Source organism: Homo sapiens, chromosome 8 (genome assembly GCF_000001405.40).
Source record: "Homo sapiens chromosome 8, GRCh38.p14 Primary Assembly".
Taxonomy (NCBI): Eukaryota; Metazoa; Chordata; class Mammalia; order Primates; family Hominidae; genus Homo; species Homo sapiens.
In genome coordinates this window covers 48,182,284-48,203,686 of record NC_000008.11, presented here as the reverse complement: position 1 = coordinate 48,203,686, position 21,403 = coordinate 48,182,284, and the positions used below count along the sequence as shown (strand labels likewise).

Below are 21,403 nucleotides of genomic sequence, written 5' to 3'. Positions count from 1 at the left end.
AGCCGAATCCAGAGAGTACAAGTCAAAGCGGAAGGGTTTCTTTGGGCACACCACAATGGCATATGTTGCTCCAGTGATCCTCCACCCAGCTTCCTGGATTGGTGCCTGAATCCTACTGAGAGAGGCATGCAATAAAGAGCAAGTAAAAATAAAACCATGGCACCTGATTCCCTCAGGACATGGAGAGCACAAGTCTGTTTCTTTTATACTCAAGACAGCAATGACATAATTAAGTGAGAGTCAAGGAAAGAAATTCCTGTAGGATCCACAGCTTAGGACCTAGACTAGGCAAGAGGGGTTGCTGCACTAGAGCCCCCCATCGCAAACAACAAGCCAAAAAACTATGCCATCCCAGAAGACACTTCTTTCACCTGAGGTCTGGTACCAGGCATAGCCTGACCCAGCCTTAGGACACAGCAACCCCGTCCCAGGCACCAGAATGCATTCTTGCCCAACATCCTCAACACACAGGTGGCTGTGTCCAAACACCATAAAAGTTTGCGTGTTGTACCACCACTTACCCACAAAGCTGGGGCCAACACTGCTTGTGCATGCAGGGAGGAATTGATAGGAGAATGCATGGATGTGAGAAAGGACCAAAACGCACACACATACTTTGAAAAGTTAATTTACCTTTTCAATCTTTCCTCAGCATAAATGCAACAAATTCTTGCATAACCACATATCAGTTCTCAGCAGCGCTCCATATTGCCAAGACTTCATTTTCTTGCTTTTCTTGATTTGCCGATTCATGGTTCCTGAGGGAGCCACATATCAATGCAATATTCACCACAGTTGCTGAGAAACCACATGGTGACTGAGAAATATTTTGCAACATTAAACAATTTCTATTACTCTTAAATCTATATACGTTGATCTAGACATCAAATGTAGAAAACATAATATCAATTATTTACATTGGCATCTAGATAAATATTAAATGCTAGAACTGTAAATTGTTTTATGTTCATTAAAAAAATAAAAATTATATAAAATATATAGTCATGCACCACATAACATTTTGGTCAACAACAGATTGGTCCCATACGATTATAATAGTATATATTTACTGTTCCTTTTCTATGTTTAGATACACAAACACTTACCATCATGTTACAAATTGCCCACATTACAATTGCCTACGGTATTCAGTACAGTCACATGCTGTGTAGGAGCCTAGGTGTGTAGTAGACTATACCGCCCAGGTCTGTGGAAGTGCACTCTGTGATGTTCACACAATGACGAAATCACCTAACAACACTTTCCTCAGTATATAGCCCCATCATTAAGCAAAACATACCGGTAATTAGTTTTTTTAAAAAACAAATTTAAATTTTCAGCTTTATTTAAATAATTTTCTTTCTTTTTTTTTTTTATTTTTTTTTGAGACAGAGTTTCACTCATTGCCCAGGCTGGAATTCAGTGGCGCAATCTCAGCTCACTGCAGCCTCCACCTCCCAGGTACAAACAATTCTCCTGCCTCAGCCTCCCAAATAGCTGGGATTACAGGCGTGCACCATCACACCCGCCTAATTTTTGTATTTTTAGTAGAGACAGGGTTTTACCATGTTGGCCAGGCTAGTCTCAAACTCCTGACCTCAGGTGATCCACCCGCCTCGACCTCCCAAAGTGCTGGGATTACAGGCGTGAGCCACTGCGCCCAGCCTATTTAAATAATTTTCATTTAAAAGTGAATATTCATTTTTGACATTTGTGTTTTTCATTTTAATTTTAATTTTTAGTATTTTAAAAGATAACTTTTCAAAAATATATGGAAATAATGTTAACTTTAAAATTGTATACTTATTTTAATGTATACTTTTAGAAATATATTTCCATTTTAATCATTTAGATTATTACTGTCAACTGAATACAAATTATGTAAAAATCTTTATTACACCCATATAATTAGTGATGCAGCTGAAATTAATGCAAGAAAAATAAATTTTATCTGATAAATATACCTGAGTTGTGTATATCTTATTTTATTATCCATCCAAGCATCTATAAAATACACATGTGAAATAATAAATTCATCTTTGATATTTTGCTTTCAGTCATATAAAAATCATGGTTTTACATATATTTTTGTCATTATGAAGACATTTATCAAGATAGAAAGATTTATTATGTACATTTCTTAACTGTTTGTTAGTTTGATTTGTAACTTTAACTATCACGCAGGTGGTACGTGGGCCACGCGTGTTAGGGGAGGCCTGGATGAAGGTCCCAGAGACTCCCAAGCCTAGCACATTGGGGTTCACACAGCTCTGGCAGCCTGGGGAGAAATCACCCAAAAAGCCAGAGCAGAAAACCAGGAAATGACAGACATCAGGTGGTTCAGAGAGTCAGTCCCCAAGGACACGTGAGACAGCCTCTAGAGACTCCCAGAAACAGCTGGGAGACATTTAAGGACAAACTAGAATTCCTAAATTATGTGTGGAGATATACGCTGAGCAATATTGAGCTTCTCTCTTTGTGGCCTTGTTCCTACCCAAAGACCATGCAGTCTGAAAAAAAAACTTGGATTGCATAAAGAAACAGAAAAGTCCCCCATCTGAAACTTCCAAAATAATATGCTTTGCAAACATTTAAACATATCTTAATTCTGCTGTAATAAGCAACTTAGTTTTTAGATAACCACAAACTGAAACCCACTAGAAAACCAACTTAGCTGAGCTACACAAACTACAAGAAAAGAAGCTGTAAGAATAAACCATGAAAAGCAAGAGATGACTAAAGTTCTTGGGATCTTTGCAGCAAAAGTAACCAAATATATGGTATCTATGTGAGTGAATTACCTGTAAATCTTCTCCATCTACAGGTAATCAGTCATTTCAAATACAAAGAAAACCCAGAATGAACTCCTGGGAATTATTTATGTAAGACCCAATAGCTGCTAGGGGTCATAAAATGACAGTTTACAGGGAGCCCAAATAAAACTCAATACCATCCAAAGCAAGACATCCTGTGGGTAGCGGGTAGGCAAACATTCCCACCGCGAGAACTCTGGCTTCAATGGCTGCTACAAGACAAGGGCAAGCCCAGAGCTGAAGGCAAGCACAGGACCCCCCTGTGCCCATGCAGCTCACGATTTTTAAGAGCCCACAGCATCTGGAGGGTGAGCAAACACCCGTATCATTAATCACAGAACAGGCAGCCCCTCTTTGTGCCATGCGCATGCCTATTAGTCTGAACTGTTTGGGAAGCCAGTGCTCTAGATGACCTAGACTGACCTTGGAATGTTCTGTTCAGGACAAAATGTCACCTAGGAATCGACTCTTTGTGAATAAGACCTAACTGAGCTGAAAGTGCTCTAAAACGATCAATAGGCAAGCCCGATAATACACACAGCATGGCTTTCTCAGTTATCTGATTCCTACAGAGATGAATCCCCATGAACATTCCCTGCTGGGCCTTTTCTGCTCATGTGTGTTCATTCCGCCTAGGGTCTAAGAAACATGGGTAACTGCAAATTATTAGGGGATTGTAATTCTATGGGAAATAATTTTGTCTAACATTGGAGGATTAGTGCTCCCAGTGAATTCGGGAAGTTGCTTCTTTAGTAATAATCTCTGACTTCAGAACTCAGAGTGATTTTGAAATGATATCTTTGAAGCTAAGCAACCATAGAAACCACTCATGGAGCGTTTTCATAGGGAAGTAGCTCAAATCTTAAGGTTAAAAGGATGTCAAATTTATATGCAAAACTATGTAACCAGAAAGAAGGGAGAGAGGGAGGAGGGAGGAGAGGAGGGGACAGTGCTAGGGACTTGAGGAGGAAGGATTATGATGTACAATGTGGGATAAAGCAAATTTTTCACAAGAATAAAAATTCCATTAAAATGGCATATAAAGTTACAGATGACAGAATCTGGCAGGTTTGGGGGGTTTTTAAAGGCATTCTGAATAATAAAGACTTGAAAAGGATGAAGACACAGGGCTAAAGTAAATTAAAATGGAGTCCAGGCCTGAACAATCCCTGAACAAAGTCAATCAGTTCTCATGAGTGACCCCAACCTGGCTTCGTTTGCAAACATAAGCAAAACTTAACTTGAGCTGTTTCTTGTAAATGGATGTCCCCACTCCCGCCTGCCTGCGTGGCTGCTCCCAAGTCAGCGGGAACACGAGGGAGCTGCAGGAGGTGCATTTCCCAGGGAGCAAAGCTATGACTGCGACAACCCTGGCGGCCCTTCGCTGCAGCCGAGGCTGACCGGGCCCCCAGACATTCGCTGGCAGGCAGCCAGTCACAGCCCCACGCCATGTTTTCAGCGACTGGATTTCTGTCTAATAAAAACAGAATTGGCGCCAAACCAATTGGTTAAACGTTACAGAGATTGTCCAGCATTTTGTTTAAAGTTTCCTAGTCTGTTTTCTTAAAGAAGTATGCACTTTAGCCATTGACTTGGGTCTACCTTTTATGACTTTTTCGTATATTATATTTTTAATCACTGCATTGCTAAGTGGGAATTATTCTCTTTGCAGGGTGAATGCGGGGTTGAGATAATTTCTCGAAGCTGGCTGTGAAAATTCCCGTGCTATGCAACTGAAGAGGAATTATTACTTTACCTGGAATCCTTGACACTCTCAGCCCTCAGTTTGAACTCTATTTTAAAGTTGCATATTTATGTGCCATTTACAGTAAATGCTCCAGGTTTGATCACCCAATATTCCAAATTTTGAACACCTACTGCATGCCCTCTCAGCCCACAGGAATTTCAAATGCCTTCTGTCTTTTGGTGCTGCCTTAATTAAAAAGAAAGGAAAAGAAAACTGGCCTAGTTTTGAGGTAAACATAAATATACAAGGCATTTCTTAAAGGGATTAAAGGATGAGGATTAGTGAAGAAAAGTTTTTCCCTTATATGTTCTGGTACTGGAAAGCAGAGAGAAGTCTGGGAATCAGAGAAGCGCACTGAGGATCAAGACCCCCCAAGCCCCACACAGGGCTGCCCTCCTTCTCATCTGCAGAGCAAGGACCCCTGAGGAAGGTCACTGCTGGGACCCCCCTGCTTGCTGCCCAGCTCAGAGACTCTTCTGTTTGCCTGAAATCCCACACAGGGGTAATCACAGGATTCTAGAATTTCTCAACCCAACTCCTTGGCCTCCAAGGCAGGGAATCTGAGGGCAGCAAGTGGAGAAGGTGCCCTGGGGCAGAGCTGGGTGGGCGTGCTCCCCTTTGGTGCTCTGCTCCCACACAGTCTCCTCTCTGCCTTGTATTCTTCTGCCCCTAGGTGAGTTCATTTTCTATGACAAGTGAGAGAAGTCTCTCTGAGATGGAGGAGGGAGACTGATGATGAATTGACAGTCTTGATATACTGGCTTAGCTCGTCGCCCTGGGCACACTTTAAAGGCCCCTGCTTTCTACACTGCACACACAGGTGTTCAACCCCAGGCCAGGGAGGCCCGGGTTTGGGATGCCTTCCTCGGGAGTGTGGCTGTCTCTTGCCCATTCTATTAGTTGACCTTGGTTTTATTCCCTACAAAGGGCTGGTCAAGGTTCTTTGTCACGAGACATTTTCAAGGTCCCTCACAACATCGTCCTTCAAACAGTTTTCTAAAAGATCCAAAACCCTACCGCTGAGAACTGCAACTTCCTAGAAAACTCCTAACATCCTGCTAAACTTTCAAGGTAATTGCTAGCAGATTATAGTCTCTAGCCATCTTCAAGTAATTTCACACACACAGCCCTCAAACATACCCAGGTGTACAACTACTTTTGCATTCCCATGCAATAGGACAGTCCCGGCAAAAGTGACAAAACTGAGTTCTCTGGCTGCAGCCTCAGCTGCTCTGTGGGAATTCCCTCACTCAACCGTATCTCTAACGGAATTGTAAGAGACTCCGGGGGTGTTGTACATGGATTCCAAGAGCCAGTGGATTTGACTAAGGAGCCGCAGCTTACTTACTTAGGTTTTCAGCTTGTCTCATTGTGTTGCAATCACCTGCTGCTGATGTCAGAAGGGGTCCCTGTGCCAGGGTTTCAATATTTATGCACGTGACATGTCTGTCCCCTCCCGCGGCCATCTACGCTGCTTCCCTTCCCATGTCCCAGCACAGCCCACGGCTCTGCACAGGCCTTGCTCTCTCTGCTTTGCACATTTGCCTGGGCAATGTCCTCCCTCACCACCTCTTCCAGCGGCTCTCCACCCAGTCTTCAATGTTCATCTCAAGTAAAAACTCTTCCATAAAGCTTTCTTGATTCCCTTACCAGATTGTATTTTTCCCTCTTATAAATCTCAGAAATGCTTTCTCTATCCTCTTAGGTATAATCGTAGTCTGCACTGTATTGCAATATTTATGTATTTGTCTCTAGAGACTATGAACTCTTTGAGGGCAGAGACTGTATGTTACTCACCTCTGAATCCCAAAATGCCTCTAACTCAACATCTTTATACAGAGAAAGCAATCATTAAGTGTCATTGATTGATTAACAAGTAATCTTTAATTGCCCTTCATCTCTGAACAACTGAAAAATTTGCAGACCATACGGTAGGCCTTTTCAAAATGTCCAGTTGCATTTTTTAGGGTTTTATGGTTGTCAATTGCAGTTAAAAGGGTTGTCAATCATTAGGATTTCTAGAAAACTATCAACCATAATAACATAAACAGTCTTTTTCCTTATGTGCAGGAGATACGTTCGAAGACCCCCAGTAGATGCCTGAGACGGGAGATAGTACCAAATCCAAAGTCCCATGCCTCTTATGTTTTTTCTTTCTTTTCTTTTCTTCTTCTTTTTTTTTTAATCAAAGCCCACTGCAGCATTAAACTCCCAGGCTCAAGCAATCCTCCCACCTCAGCCTACCGAGTAGCTGGGACTACAAGTGCGTGCCACCATGCCCAGCTTATTTTTATAATTTTTGTATCGATGGGGTCTCGCCATGTTGTCCAGGCTGGTCTTTACCTCCTGAGCTCAAGTGGTCCTCCCACCACGGCCTCCCAAAGTGCTGGGATTACAGGCATGAGCCACTGTGCCTGGTTCTTTTTTCTTATATATACATATATATATACATACATACATATGATAAAGTTTGAGGTGCAACACTAAATCTAACACAGTATTTTTCCTTCTTCACAATTTCACAGATAGAAGATTAGTTCTGTGAACCGTGAACATTTGAGACAGGTCTCAGTTAATTTAGAAAGTTTATTTTGCCAAGGTTGAGGACGCACGCTTGTGACACAGCCTCAGGAGGTCCTGAGGACATGTGCTTAAGGTGGTCAGAGCACAGCTTGGTTTTATACATTTTAGGGAGACATGAGACATCAATCGATATATGTAAAATGAACACCAGTTTGGTCCAGAAAGGTGGGACAACTGGAAGCAACTCAAAGCTGGGAGGGGGCTTCCAGGTCACAGGTAGGTGAGAGACAAATGGTTGCATTCTTTTGAGTTTCTGATTACTCTTTCCAAAGGAGGCAATCAGATATGCATCTATCTCAGTGAGCAGGAGGATGACTGAATAGAATGGAAGGCAGGTTTACACTAAGCAGTTCCCAGCTTGAATTTTCCCTTTAGCTTAGTGATTTTGGGGGCCCAAGATATTTTCCTTTCACAGTTCTTACCATAGATCTTAGCAATCTCAGCATTCAATTTTTTTTTCTTTTCTTATTAAGTGGAGAACTTTCACCTTTCCACTTAAAGGAAGCATTTGGCAGCTTTTTTTTTCTTTTGGCATATCTGAATTGCCAGCATCAACACTATTGCACTTTGGGGCTGTTACTAAGTAAAATAAGGGTGGCACCTATAATCCCAGCACTTTGGGAGGCCGAGGTGGGTAGATCACTTGAGGCCAGGAGTTCAAGACCAGCCTGGCCAACCTGGTGAAACCTCGTCTCTACTAAAAGTACGAAAATTAGCCAGGCGTGGTGGCACACACCTGTAGTCCCAGCTACTCAGGAGGCTGAGGCACGAGAATAGCTTGAGCCCGGGAGGCAGAGGATGCAGTGAGCCAAGATCGCACCACTGCACTCCAGCCTGAGCAACAGAGCAACATCCTGTCTCAAAAAAAAAATAAAAATAAATAAATAAATAAATAAATAAGGGTGGCTTGAACACAATCACTGTGATACCATGATAGTTGATCTGACAACCAAGTGGCTATTAAGTGACCAAGGTATATAGCGTGGATTCGCAGGACAAATGGAGCAGCCACGTTCCAGGGTAGACAGAATGGGGATGATGCAAGAGTTCATCACACTACCCATAAATTGTTTATTCATCACACTACCTATAAATTGTTTATTTCTGGAATTTTCCATTTAATATTTTTGGACCACAGTTGGCTGCAGGTAACTGATAACTCAGAAAACATAACTGTGGATGAGGGGGCACTACTGTATTCTAATCTTACTCTCTCCACTCATATTTATTTATTAGGAAATCCATGGAAATTCAAACAAATGAATGAATTTGGTGTGGTGGCTCATGCCTGTAATCCCAGCACTTTGGGAGGCCAAAGCAGGAGGATCCCTTGAGCCCAGGAGGTTGAGGCTGCAGTGAGCTATTTATGATTGGGCCACTGCACTCCAACCTGAGTGGCATAGTGAGATCTGTCTCTAAAAATAAATAAATAAATAAATAAATAAATAAATAAATAAACAAACAAAGAATCCATAAGGCAAAAACCCTGTGCCCTAAACAACTTTACCCTCCAGAGAGCTGGGCTTGCATGAGGGTTCTGCCCCTGCTACTGATTCCTAGTCCCAGAAAAATTTCTGTAATGTGGAACAAGTGGTTTTAATATGAACTTTTTACTAGAAACAGATTATTATTTCTGTTACAATTGCTGGCCTCTCTTCAAAAATACCATTTTCATCACTATAACAGCATCATCCTGTCAGCCATTAAATAAAGGCTCTCTGGGAGAGCCTTCCCTATGCAATGCTCTGGGCCACACTGAGACTATCAGAGGTCTGCAATGGAAAGAATATGATAGCCCTTGTAACACATCACTATGGTGTGAAGGTGTCCACCAGAATTAACAGCGAATGTGACAGCACTGAGTAAAGAATAATTATTTTTGTATCCTTTGGTGCTGGTCAAAGGATATAGGAGGAATACATTTTGAGACTGTAGTCAACTCCTTCAAGTCCTTTCTTAATGACTTCAGCCATGGAGGACGGCACAATTTAAGCTAACTCAGTGAGACAGGAAGAACTCTTCACAGAGAGCGAGAACCTGCACAACCATGGCGTCCTCAGCTCCCCACAGTGCTGCAGGAGATGCCCTGGCTCAACTACTTTGTCCTTGGAAGAAACAAACAGTGCCTGGACCAAGAGGTGGTGGCAGCTGACCTGGATGGCACAGAAATACACACACTCACAGCCAGAGCTTTGCAGACAGCCCTGAAACCTGCCACAGCACAGAAAGCAATACAAGTGGATGAAACCACGGTGGAAGAAGAGAAAATATACAGAAGAATCTTCAAACTGCAAGAGTCGAAAGGGATCCTCCATGGAAGAAGAGAACCCAGTTTATACTAGGAAAAGGAAAGGCAAGATGTCAAAGCCGTTGTGGCACTGTGGCCCCAGTGGAGGCTGGCTGGAGCTGCCTATGGTGAAGTCAACACTGGGCCTGACACCCAGGCTTGGCTTGACGGTTCTTCAAGCCCCCTGGCCTGTGCACCAGCAGCCACAGCATGGATTCCTGCGATCTCAGTGCATGGCAGCCCTCTCTCCAGCAGCAGAGAGCTCTCCCTGGCTGAGGCCCATCAGAGCAAGGCTGCTGTTATGGGCCAGTGACTTGCCAGGGGCCACACTGCAAAACTAGATCCAGGGTCTTGGAAAGCACAAAGAAGCTCTCCAGTGGTCTTGCCCAAATCTGCAGCAGCCTACAGACCCACCTACGAGAAGCCAGCCTTCACAGATGGGCCTTCAGTGGGCTATCTGGGACCAGAAGAGACCTCTTCACTTCAGGCTCCTTGATGGTTTGAGTGTGAAGTTCCAGAATTAGAAGCAATGTTCCTCTGGGGAATTCAGGAGGGGGAGATACACTGTCCCTGTATCACTTAGATACAGTTGTGCTGTCCATGCCTCCCTGTCCAGGTGACCCTGGCCACTCCCTGCTGCCTCCATGCACTGAAGCTTCCTGTCACCCTTCCAGCTGAATTATCTTGCTCTCAGGGCAGCTGCCTTCTGCCTCCTGTAACTCAGTCTCTTGTTTGCCCAACCCTACCTGCAATGGGGGTGATGTGGAAGAATGCCATGTTCTCAGGAAAACTGCCGTTCACCCTCCTCAGAGGACCCCCAGCATCCGGCATTTCTACTCTGTGTATGCCTGAGGCTGGGAGGTTAGGCTCAGAGAAGTGAGAGTTCTGGGCTCTGAAAGGGCACATCCAGAAAGTGGGGGGCAATGGACACATAGGCCCAGGCAGCAGAGCAAGACAAGTCCAGTGTCTACAGTAGCAAAACAGGCGTCTGCCCTCCAATCCCAGCTCCTGCTCCTCCTCCTCCTCCTCCTTCTTCTCTTCCTCCTCCTCCTTCCTCTCTTCCTCCTCCTTTTCCTCCTCCTCCTTCTCCTCCCTGTCCTCCTCCTCCTCCCTCTCCTCCTCCTCCCTCTCCTCCTCCTCACTCTCCTCCTCCTCCCTCTCCTCCTCCTCCCTCTCCTCCTCCTTCTTCTCCTCCTCTCCTCCTACTTCTCCTCCTCTCCTCCTCCTCTTTCCTCTCCTCCTCTCCTCCTCCCCTTTCCTCACCTCCTCCTCCTCCCCTTTCCTCACCTCCTCCTCCTCCTCCCTCTCCTCATCCTCCTTCTCCTCCTCCTCCCCTTTCCTCACCTCCTCCTCCTCCCTCTCCTCATCCTCCTTCTCCTCCTCCTCCCTCTCCTCATCCTCCTTCTCCTCCTCCTCCTCTCCTCCTCCTTCTTCTCCTCCTCTCCTCCTCCTCCTTCCTCTCCTCCTCTCCTCCTCTTCCTTCCTCTCCTCCTCTCCTCCTCCTCCTTCCTCTCCTCCTCCACCTCCTCCTTCCTCTCCTCCTCCTCCTCTTCCTCCTTATCTTCCCTCTCCTGCTAGGAAGAGCATTAAATAGAACTTGAGATCTTCCCCCTGCTGTACCCAGCAGTTCTTTTCTAACTGCCTGTGGAACAGTGTTTTGTGTTCGCCCTATTTACCAAAGACCAAAAATTGGTTTGGAGGCAGCTTCTACCTTCTCTTCTACCTTTCTAGTTAGTGGTAATTTGGATAAGGGAATTGTAGGGCTTAGATTAGTCTAGGGTTTTCAGTGACAGGCACAGAGTAATCATCTCTATGCCATCGTGGTCCAGCGGTCCCTGCTAGGTCTGTACACTCTGCAGAGAGCACTCCTCTCTTCCAGGATTCATGGGGGTGACTCATCTGGTGGCCTCCTTCCACATGTTTAGCCTGTACACAGGGCGTGGGTTAGTTCCGCGCAGTTGGCAGTGAGACCATCATGCTCCAGCCAGCCTCTCTGCCCCAGAGAATCATGGGCTGTTCTCCAAGAAACTGGAAACTAGAGTGCTCACTCCCAGGCCTGAAGCACACAGTTTTCTCATGAATGCCTCTCTGTTGTGTTTTGTATGATTTTGCCGCATGACATTTGTAGTAATTCAGGCCTGTTCAAGTTGAATTCTTTGCAAGTTGCCTTATTCTCCCTTTCCTGAGATTTTGTACATATTGTTTTCCTGAGTAATGGTATTTCTAAGTTAATTTCTTCTAATCAGAGCTACCAAAATGTACGTGCTTTCAGTAAACTCCTATTTGGTTTTGTTTTTTGATAAATTTTTTAAAAAGAGGTGATTAAGTCATGAGAGTGAAGTCCTCATGAATAGAATTAGTGCTCTTATAAAAAAGGCTTGGGAGGCTGGGCGCAGTGGCTCACGTCTGTAATCCCAGCACTTTGGGAGGCCAAGGTCGGCGGATCACTTGAGGCCAGGAGTTCAAAATCAGCCTGGCCAACGTGGTGAAACCCCGTCTCTACTAAAAATACAAATATTAGTCAGGCATGGTGGTGCGTGGCTGTAGTCCCAGCTACTCAGGAGGCTGAGGCAGGAGAATTGCTTGAACGTGGGAGGCAGAGGTTGCAGTGAGCCGAGATCATACCACATCACTCCAACCTGAGCGACACAGCAAGACTCTGTCTCGAAAAAAAAATACAATATTATTCAGTGATTTTTTTTTTTTTTGAGACAGTCTCATTCTGCCACCTAGGCTGGAGTACAGTGGCACTGCACGATCTCGGCTCATTGCCACCTCTGCCTCCCAGATTCAAATGATCCTCCTGCCTCAGCCTCCCAAGTAGCTGGGATTACAGGTGTGTGCCACTATGCCCAGCTAATTTTTGTGTGTTTTCAGTGGAGACAGGGTTTCACCATGTTGGCCAGGCTGGTCTTGAACTCCTGGCCTCAAGTGATCCGCCCACCTCCGGCTCCCAAAGTGTTGGGGTCACAGGCACAAGCCATTGTGCCTGGCCAGGTGATTTTTAAAAATGAAGTACTGATGCATACCACACTGTGGATGACCCTCAAACACACCGTGCTCCATTAAAGAAGCCAGCCACAAAAGATGTCATAGTATATGATTCTATCTATATGAAATGCCCATTCATAGGCAATTCCACAGAGACAGAAAGTAGACCTACTAATCACCTGCATTATAGTTGAGCTGCTTCCTCCTCTGTGAAACCTTTCCTGACAGAAGCAGGCAGCCTGGCAGGGTCTGGTGGCATCAAATTGTCATTATTGACTAGAAAATAAGTTTCATAAAGGCAAGAATAAGAATTGCCTATTTTGTTCTCTGCTGTACCCTCAACACACCTAGAACAGTGCTTGGTATATAACAGGCAACAGCAAATATGTATTGCATGATTGAAGGACTAAAACTGTTTGCATGCCTCTGCCTTCCCCATCAATAGGCAGTGTCTTTAGGGAAAGAGAAGATTTCGTTCCATTCATATTCACGGCCCAGTACCCAAAGAAATAGCATGCCTGGCACAGAGTACTCAAGTACACAGCCAATAAATATTGGCTGAATGAATGAATGAAAAGGAAATAGGGCTAAAACTAGTTTTGACCCACTACCCTGGAAGAGCGTAGTTCTTCTCCGATCCAGATATTCAGCACTTGCTCCTTGCAGACATCTTCAGACCCAGGCAAGCCTCCTTGAGCTTCTGAGCCCCTGCTTCTGAGAGTGGCTCTTGGACTTTCCTTTCACTCACATGTGGTCTGTCTCAGACATGTTTCCATGTTGAAACGTCACCTAGTATCTCAACAGACCTGAACAATACTACAGATCATGTCATTAGCATATACACTCAGATCCAGTCATACAGATGATAAACGGAAAACAAACCAAGACCAGTTGAAGACCTGGGTGAAGTGGTAGGTCCCAGGGCCCAAACTAGGAGGAATCACTGCATTCATCATGCTTCCAGAGAGCCAGTGCGGGTCCTCAGCCAGAGAGAAGCAAACCTATGTAGCCTTTTATAAAGAGTGCTCAAAAAGTTAGACCCCTGCATAACCTCCCAGCACCTTTCAGGAATTCGTGGAAGAGATGGCCAGCTGATAGGCATTCATTTAAAAGACATAGTTCCTTCCAAAATGTACCATGAGAAAAATAATTTTTAACCCAGTTCAAACGTATATTACCCACTCTAACTAAAAGGCATGTATTAATTTTAATTAAAATAGTATTGAGTGTAACATGTGTTTCGTTGTTCTATTAATGCAAATCTAACAGGACATCCAGACTTTAGCAAGAGACTGCACTTCCATCAGCAAGGAGGTTGATGAATTTCATCAACAGTAAGAAGGAAATAGCAAGAACTTCATCATTATTGCATTGCCTTTTTATAGGGCTACCTCTAAAACTCAAAAACAAACACACTTGCACACACGCCCATATTATGAGCCCTCTATATATACTACAGCCAAAATTCTTGGCTCCCCAAGAGAGCTTTACATGGAATGTAATAAAGAAATACCCAGGAAACTCTATAAGACTTTTGACAAGGCTAATATTGGACAGGAACAAAACAAGACTACTGGCACCATCTCCTCTCAGCTCTTAAGTAAACTTGTCCCATTAAAAAGTAGCCTATGGAAGACTTTTGTCTCCAATGCATATGGTAGCTTATAAGAAGTAGAAGGGCTGCCAAGTTGTAGATGTGTTCAAGCACTCTTTACCCTCATTAAATAGCATTGCCTGGCAACCAAAGACTCCAACTGAACTTTACATGGGAGGATGGTGTTTATGGTGGTGTGAAGTATCGCTTAGAGCCACAGAGCACCCCAGCACCCTGCAGTAGAGCCCACTGTGTGCTGAGCGTCATTTCAGGCAGGACAAACAAGCCAAGCTGAGCTGCTCTAAGGACCCACTATTAAATCAGGAATAGTCCACACCCTGGGGAAGAGTTGAGCCACACTTGGCCACAGAACACAGACACCAAGCTCCATAGGTTAAGGGGAAATGGGGGAAGGGACAGAGCCACAGAGATGCACAGCATTGCATGGTCAGGAGCCAGTCCAGAGGGCCAGGGGTTTCCTGTGCCAAGACATGGTGCTGGGACTCCAAAGGGAAAGAAAAGCAATGCATTCCTGGGACATCCCCCTAGGGTTGCAGTTGAGAAGATTTCACCATGCCTTAGACCTAAGTAGATTTAGTCATTGGAAACTGGTCTTGCTGTATCTAAAATGTGCTTTCAAACCATGTATGGCAGGAGAAATCTGGTAATGTACCTTTATTTCTTGTAATCAAAAATGCCAATCCCTGATCTCTTCACATTCTTCCCGCAGTATTTCATGTCTGATTCCTAAGCCCACTTAGGTCTCATTTAAAGCAATGTTTCCAAAGAGTTTAACTACATGTTGATCTTTTTTATTTTTTCTTTGCAGATAACTATGTGACTTCTTGGTTGTTTTTAAGACTACTGCGCCACTCATTCCTACATTATTGACCTTGTTATCTTCTTTCTTGTTTAAAATATGTATATTACTATGCGTATGGAAGCATTTTCCCCCAGAAAGACAAGGAAAAGAGTGGGAGTAAAATAACTGGACTCTCACATTTCCTGTTGCTACTCAAAATGTGTGCATAGGTCACTTGAACTGGGAAATGGGAAAATCTGCTCACAAGTCCATAAAAAAAAGGGGGCTATAAATTTAGTTCTAGGACCTAAATTCCTTCTTTAAAGGAGTAGCTCATTCTATTATCATCATCTACAATTAACCCAACAGCACAGGTCATTCTATTTCCATTGCCACTAACCCTGCCTGCCACTTTTTTATGCCTCCAGGGCACTGGCCTGGCCACCTCCCAGCCCTGTTGGCAAAATGCCAGAGATTAGGAGCCAGGAAAGAAAAGTTCTGAGTGCAAAGGCCAAGGCTCTGGGTGATGGAATCAGAAAATTACAAGGCTTACAGCTTAAATGGGCTTCTCTTGTGGAAAAATGTGAAACATACAGCTAAAAATTTAACAACAATATAAAACTTTCCATGTTTTTCTTTTTTTTTCTTTTCTTTTTGAGGCAGAGTCTCACTCTTGCCCAGGCTGGAGTGCAGTGATGCCCTCTCGGCTCACTGCAACCTCTGCCCCCCAGATTCAAGCACTTCTCCTGCCTCAGCCTCCTGAGTAGCTGGGATTACAGGCACCTGCCACCACACCCGGCTAATTTTTGTATCTTTAGTAGAGATGGGGTTTCAGGTGATCTGTCCACCTCGGCCTCCCAAAGTGCCGGGATTATAGGCATGAGCCACCGAGCCTGGCCACCTTCTATGTTTCACAATGGTTAGAACGAGTCCAGAGACAGTGAGAGCAACAACATTCACAGAAACTTAGGTTGAGTTGATGTCCCTGACTACAGTGATGCAAAGAGATAGGAAAGGAAAGGAAAGTTGTGATTTATTTCAAAGACTAAAGCAACAGATTCACCTGTTGAAGGATGAAAGACTGGAATGAATAGCACAATTTCTAGGTTTTGACCAGGAATTCCTGGATAATCAACAGTATCACTGACAATAATAGGGAAATGGGAAGGAGAACTCTTGTGTGAGGTCTAGCATAGAGGAACATGTGCTGGACTGAGTTTTGAAGACTTCATCTTAGTCATCTTAGTAGCCACTTTCACTATGTGGCCTTGGGCAGGTCAATTAATTAAGCTGAATTCATTTCTCTCATCTGTGAAATCCAAAGTTTGAACTAAATGATATTCAAGGATGAGCTATGAAGTTCATGTGCTGTCATTCCACCTTCCTATACCTTTAGAGGACAATGCTCGTTAATCATGGTCTATTTCCACTAAGTCTGGACATGGCCTTAGAATTCTTTTCAACCAGCATTACAGGAAGCCAAGGCCCATCTATTGGAGTTTCCATGAAAGATAAATTCTATGCAACATGAGAAATCTCTAAGTTCCTTCCTTTTGATTTTGATAAAGAGGATGTGCTCAATTCCATCCTTTAAGTTTTATTGGTAAGTGGAAATTCTATTCAGAAAAATTTAAAACCCAAGAATGAAAACAGAGTAGGCCTCCATTTCTGGTCTCATGAGTAGCTAGGCATGCTGGGGAAACTTCCTAGCCACAACTAGTCCACAGAAACAGATATGACACTCTTTGAGGTGTTTCTACTCTTCCAAAATGTAGGAGAGTTCTTTAGGGACAACTCCAAAAAACAACAACAAACAACAAATAAGAGCTAGAGCTTGTTGTGGGGGAGAGTGGAAAGGGTAGGGCTGGAGTAGGCAAGAGTTAAGGATTTGGCAGGTAGAATTGTCAGGGCAAGAACACCAGGAAGCATGGGCAGAACAGCAGAAAGCCAGAGGGTAGAGTCAATGTGGGAATTAAGCAACATGGACCCACAGTGGAGGTTGGCTACCCTGAGTCCTTGGTTATATGGCTAGACAGTTGTAGGAATGTTGACCTACAGAAGATCATTGAGGAGGAAGCCAAGTTTGAGATATCCATTCTAACACAAAACCTTCAGGAAAGGCTGAAGTAGACCCTAAGTAGGGATGCCCCCAAGCTATTCATAGAAGAATAAATTCTCCTGGGAAGAAAGCTTCCCCCAGGTCAGGCGTGTTGCTTCCCTGGCAACCCACTGGTGTGTTTGGTGTGTTGCCAAACACACCAGAAGTTTAGCTATTCAGCAAGAGATACAACATACTAAAGAACTTTATATGAAATGTTTAAGGAAATGAAGGATGAAATTACAAAAATGAGTATATAAAAATAAACAATTAATAATGAACAGACAGAATTTTTAAATACTAACCTCCAAGAATAAAATGTATAATTATTGGATTCAAAATCTCAAATAATTGGGCTAAATTTTACAGAGATTAGATACAGTTGACAAGAGAATTAGTGAACTGGAAGGCATATTCAAAGAATTTAGAATATAGCAAAGAGAGAAAAAAATGAAAAATATGAAGAGCTGAAGACATATAGAAGGTGAGAAGATATAATACCTACTAAGTGACATCCAAAAGAGGAAATTGAGAGAATTTTGAAGATACAATGTCTGGCTGCAGATTTTCCAGAAATTATATTAACTATGAATCCATGGACCCAACAATCACTACATATCCTGAGAAAACTTGATAAAGAGATCACTCACAGTGAAACTAGAGAGCACCAAAATTGAGAACATCATGAATATACAGAGCAAGAAGGGCTATATCACTTGGAAGGGCAGCTGAAATAAACAAAGGCAAACTTTTCAACAATAATGGAGACCAGAAGATAAGTGGAATAACTACAACATGTTAAAAGAAAATAATAGTTGACCAAGAATTATGTATAAAGCCAAAAGTGAGAAAAAATAGGAAAAACAGGACTGGGAATGGTGGCTAACACCTGTACTCCCAACACTTTGGGAGGCCAAGGCAGGAGGATCACTTGAGCCCAGGAATTTGAGACCAGCCTGGACAATGCAGTGAAATCCCATCTCACTTGAGCTCAGCCAAAAGGCCAAGAAGTGATCTGAAATCCTATCTATACAGCAAAATTTTTAAATTAGCCAGGTGTGGTGACATGTGCCTACAGTCCTAGCTACTCAGGAGGCTGAGGCAAGAGAATTACTGAGCCCAGGAGTTTGAAGTTACAGTGAGCTATGATCATATCACTGCACTCCAGCCTGGGTGACAGAGCAAAACCCTGCCACTAGAAAATAATTTTTAATTTTTTAAAAAATAGGAAAAACAGAATGAACCCAAAGGAGTTAAAAGAAAGGAGCAGAAAGCAACAAAATAAAAAACAAAGTTAAAATAGAGAGAATCAACAAATCCATAAGTTTGTTTAAAAAAATTACAAATATATTGACTTTAAGAAAAAAGACACAAATATATAACATAAATGCAGATAATTACAGTTTGAGCAAATATTTAAAACATAAACGTAATTTTTTTCTACTGCTGGTGAACAAATTAAGATAAACATAATTCTAACAATAACTATACCAATAAATTTTAAAATAATAAAATGGAGAAATTTCTGGAAGAATATAACCTAGTGTTATGTTTCCCCATAAATTTCAGCCGATTTTAATTACTGCATGTAATCATATAATTCCTGGGAACTGATGTTGTGCAACTTCCAAAGATAAATCATAGAAGGCAGTGAAGTTTCTATTTTGTCCACTGGGACACTTGCTTTTGGAAACCTGAACTACATATATATGTATATATATAATTATACTTTAAGTTCTAGGGTACACGTGCACAACGTGCAGGTTTGTTACATATGTATACATGTGCCATGTTGGTGTGATGCACCCATTAACTCATCATTTACATTAGGTATATCTCCTAATGCTATCCCTCTGCTCTCCCCCAACCCCACAACAGGTCCCAGTGTGTGATGTTCCCCTTCCTGTGTCCAAGTGTTCTCATTGTTCAATTCCCACCTATGAGTGAGAACATGCGGTGTTTGGTTTTTTGTCCTTGCAATAGTTTGCTGAGAATGATGGTTTCCAGCTTCATCCACGTCTCTACAAAGGACATGAACTCATCATTTTTTATGGCTGCATAGTATTCCATGGTGTATATGTGCTACATTTTCTTAATACAGTCTATCATTGTTGAACATTTGGGTTGGTTCCAAGTCTTTGCTGTTGTGAGTAGTGCCGCAATAAACATACGTGTGCATGTGTCTTTATAGCAGCATGATTTATAATCCTCTGGGTATATACCCAATAATGGGATGGCTGGGTCAAATGGTATTTCTAGTTCTAGATCCTTGAGGAATCACCACAACTGTCTTCCACAAGGGTTGAACTAGTTTACAGTCCCAACAACAGTGTAAAAGTGTTCCTATTTCTCTACATCCTCTCCAGCACCTGTTGTTTCCTGACTTTTTAATGATCACTATTTTGACTGGTGTGAGATGATATCTCATTGTGGTTTTGATTTGCATTTCTCTGATGGCCAGTGATGATGAGCATTTTTTCATGTGTCTGCTGGCTACATAAATGTCTTCTTTTGAGAAGCGTCTGTTCATATCCTTTGCCCACTTTTTGATGGGGTTGTTTATTTTTTTCTTGTAAATTTATTTGAGTTCTTTGTAGATTCTGGATATTAGCCCTTTGTCAGTGAGTAGATTGCAAAAATTTTGTCCCATTCTGTAGGTTGCCTCTTCACTCTGATGGTAGTTTCTTTTGCTGTGCAGAAGTTCTTTAGTTTAATTAGATCCCATTTGTCAATTTTGGCTTTTGTTGCCATTGCTTTTGGTGTTTTAGACATGAAGTCCTTGCCCATGACTATGTCCTGAATGAATGGTATTGCCTAGGTTTTCTTCTAGGGTTTTTATGGTTTTAGGTCTAATATTTAAGTCTTTAATCCATCTTGAATTAATTTTTGTATAATGTATAAGGAAGGGATCCAGTTTCAGCTTTCTACATGTGGCTAGCCAGTTTTCCCAGAACCATTTGTTAAATAGGGAATCCTTTCCCCATTTCTTGTTTTTCTCAGGTTGGTCAAAGATCAGATAGTTGTAGATGTGTGGTATTATTTCTGAGGGCTCTGTTCTGTTCCATTGGTCTATATCTCTGTTTTGGTACCAGTACCATGTTGTTTTGGTTACTGTAGCCTTGTAGTATAGTTTGAGGTCAGGTAGCGTGGTGCTTCCAGTATTGTTCTTTTGGCTTAGGATTGACTTGGCAATGCGGGTTCTTTTTTGGTTCCATATGAACTTTAAAGTAGTTTTTTCCAATTCTGTGAAGAAAGTCATTGGTAGCTTGTTGGGGATGGTATTGAATCTATAAATTACCTTGAGCAGTATGGCCATTTTCACCATATTGATTTTTCCTATGCATGAGCATGGAATGTTCTTCCATTTGTTTGTGTCCTCTTTTATTTAGTTGAGCAGTGGTTTGTAGTTCTCCTTGAAGAGGTCCTTCACATCCCTTGTAAGTTGGATTCCTAGATATTTGAAGCAATTGTGAATGGGAGTTCACTCATGATTTGGCTCTCTGTCTGTTATTGGTGTATAAGAATGCTTGTGATTTTTGCACATTGATTTTGTATCCTCAACCTGCTTCTGAATGACTACTGGGTACATAATGAAATGAAGGCAGAAATAAAGATGTTCTTTGAAACCAATGAGAACAAAGACACAACATACCAGAATCTCTGGGACACATTCAAAGCAATGTGTAGAGGGAAATTTATAGCACTAAATGCCCACAAGAGAAAGCAGGAAAGATCTAAAATTGACACCCTAACAGCACAATTAAAAGAACTAGAGAAGCAAGAGCAAACACATTCAAAAGCTAGCAGAAGGCAAGAAATAACTAAGATCAGAGCAGAATTGAAGGAGATAGAGACATAAAAAACCCTTCAAAAAATCAAAGAATCCAAAATTGATAGACAGCTAGCAAGACTAATAAAGAAGAGAGAAGAATCAAATAGATGCAATAAAAAATGACAAAGGGGATATCACCACCGATCCCACAGAAATACAAACTACCATCAGAGTATACTATAAACACTTCTACACAAATAAACTAGAAATCTAGAAGAAATGGATAAATTCCTCCACACATACACCCTCCCAAGACTAAACCAGGAAGAAGTTGAATCTCTGAATAGACCGATAACAGGTTCTGAAATTGAGGCAATCATTAATAGCTTACCAACCAAAAAAAGTCCAGGACCAGATGGATTCACAGCCGAATTCTACCACACGTACAAGGAGGAGCTGGTACCATTCCTTCTGAAACTATTCCAATCAATAGAAAAAAAGGGAATCCTCCCTAACTCATTTTATGAGGCCAGCATCATCCTGATACCAAAGCCTGGCAGAGACACAACCAAAAAAGAGAATTTTAGACCAATATCCCTAATGAACATTGATGCAAAAATCCTCAATAAAATACTGGCAAACTGAATCCAGCAGCACATCAAAAAGCTTATCCACCATGATCAAGTGGGCTTCACCCCTGGGATGCAAAGCAGGTT

The 21,403-nt window shown here is 42.5% G+C and overlaps 1 pseudogene, besides 2 other annotated features; it reads left to right on the top strand.

The window, feature by feature from the left end:
- Positions 3,674-4,180: an enhancer, noted in NCBI's record as "H3K4me1 hESC enhancer chr8:49112067-49112573 (GRCh37/hg19 assembly coordinates)". NCBI's record gives its function as "activates a minimal SCP1, AML or CMV promoter by ChIP-STARR-seq in naive H9 embryonic stem cells {active_cell/tissue: H9 hESC(naive)}" and the evidence as "EXISTENCE:reporter gene assay evidence [ECO:0000049][PMID:30033119]".
- Positions 4,181-4,688: an enhancer, noted in NCBI's record as "H3K4me1 hESC enhancer chr8:49111559-49112066 (GRCh37/hg19 assembly coordinates)". NCBI's record gives its function as "activates a minimal SCP1, AML or CMV promoter by ChIP-STARR-seq in naive H9 embryonic stem cells {active_cell/tissue: H9 hESC(naive)}" and the evidence as "EXISTENCE:reporter gene assay evidence [ECO:0000049][PMID:30033119]".
- On the top strand, positions 9,093-11,728 carry LOC100287157 (cell division cycle associated 8 pseudogene; annotated as a pseudogene).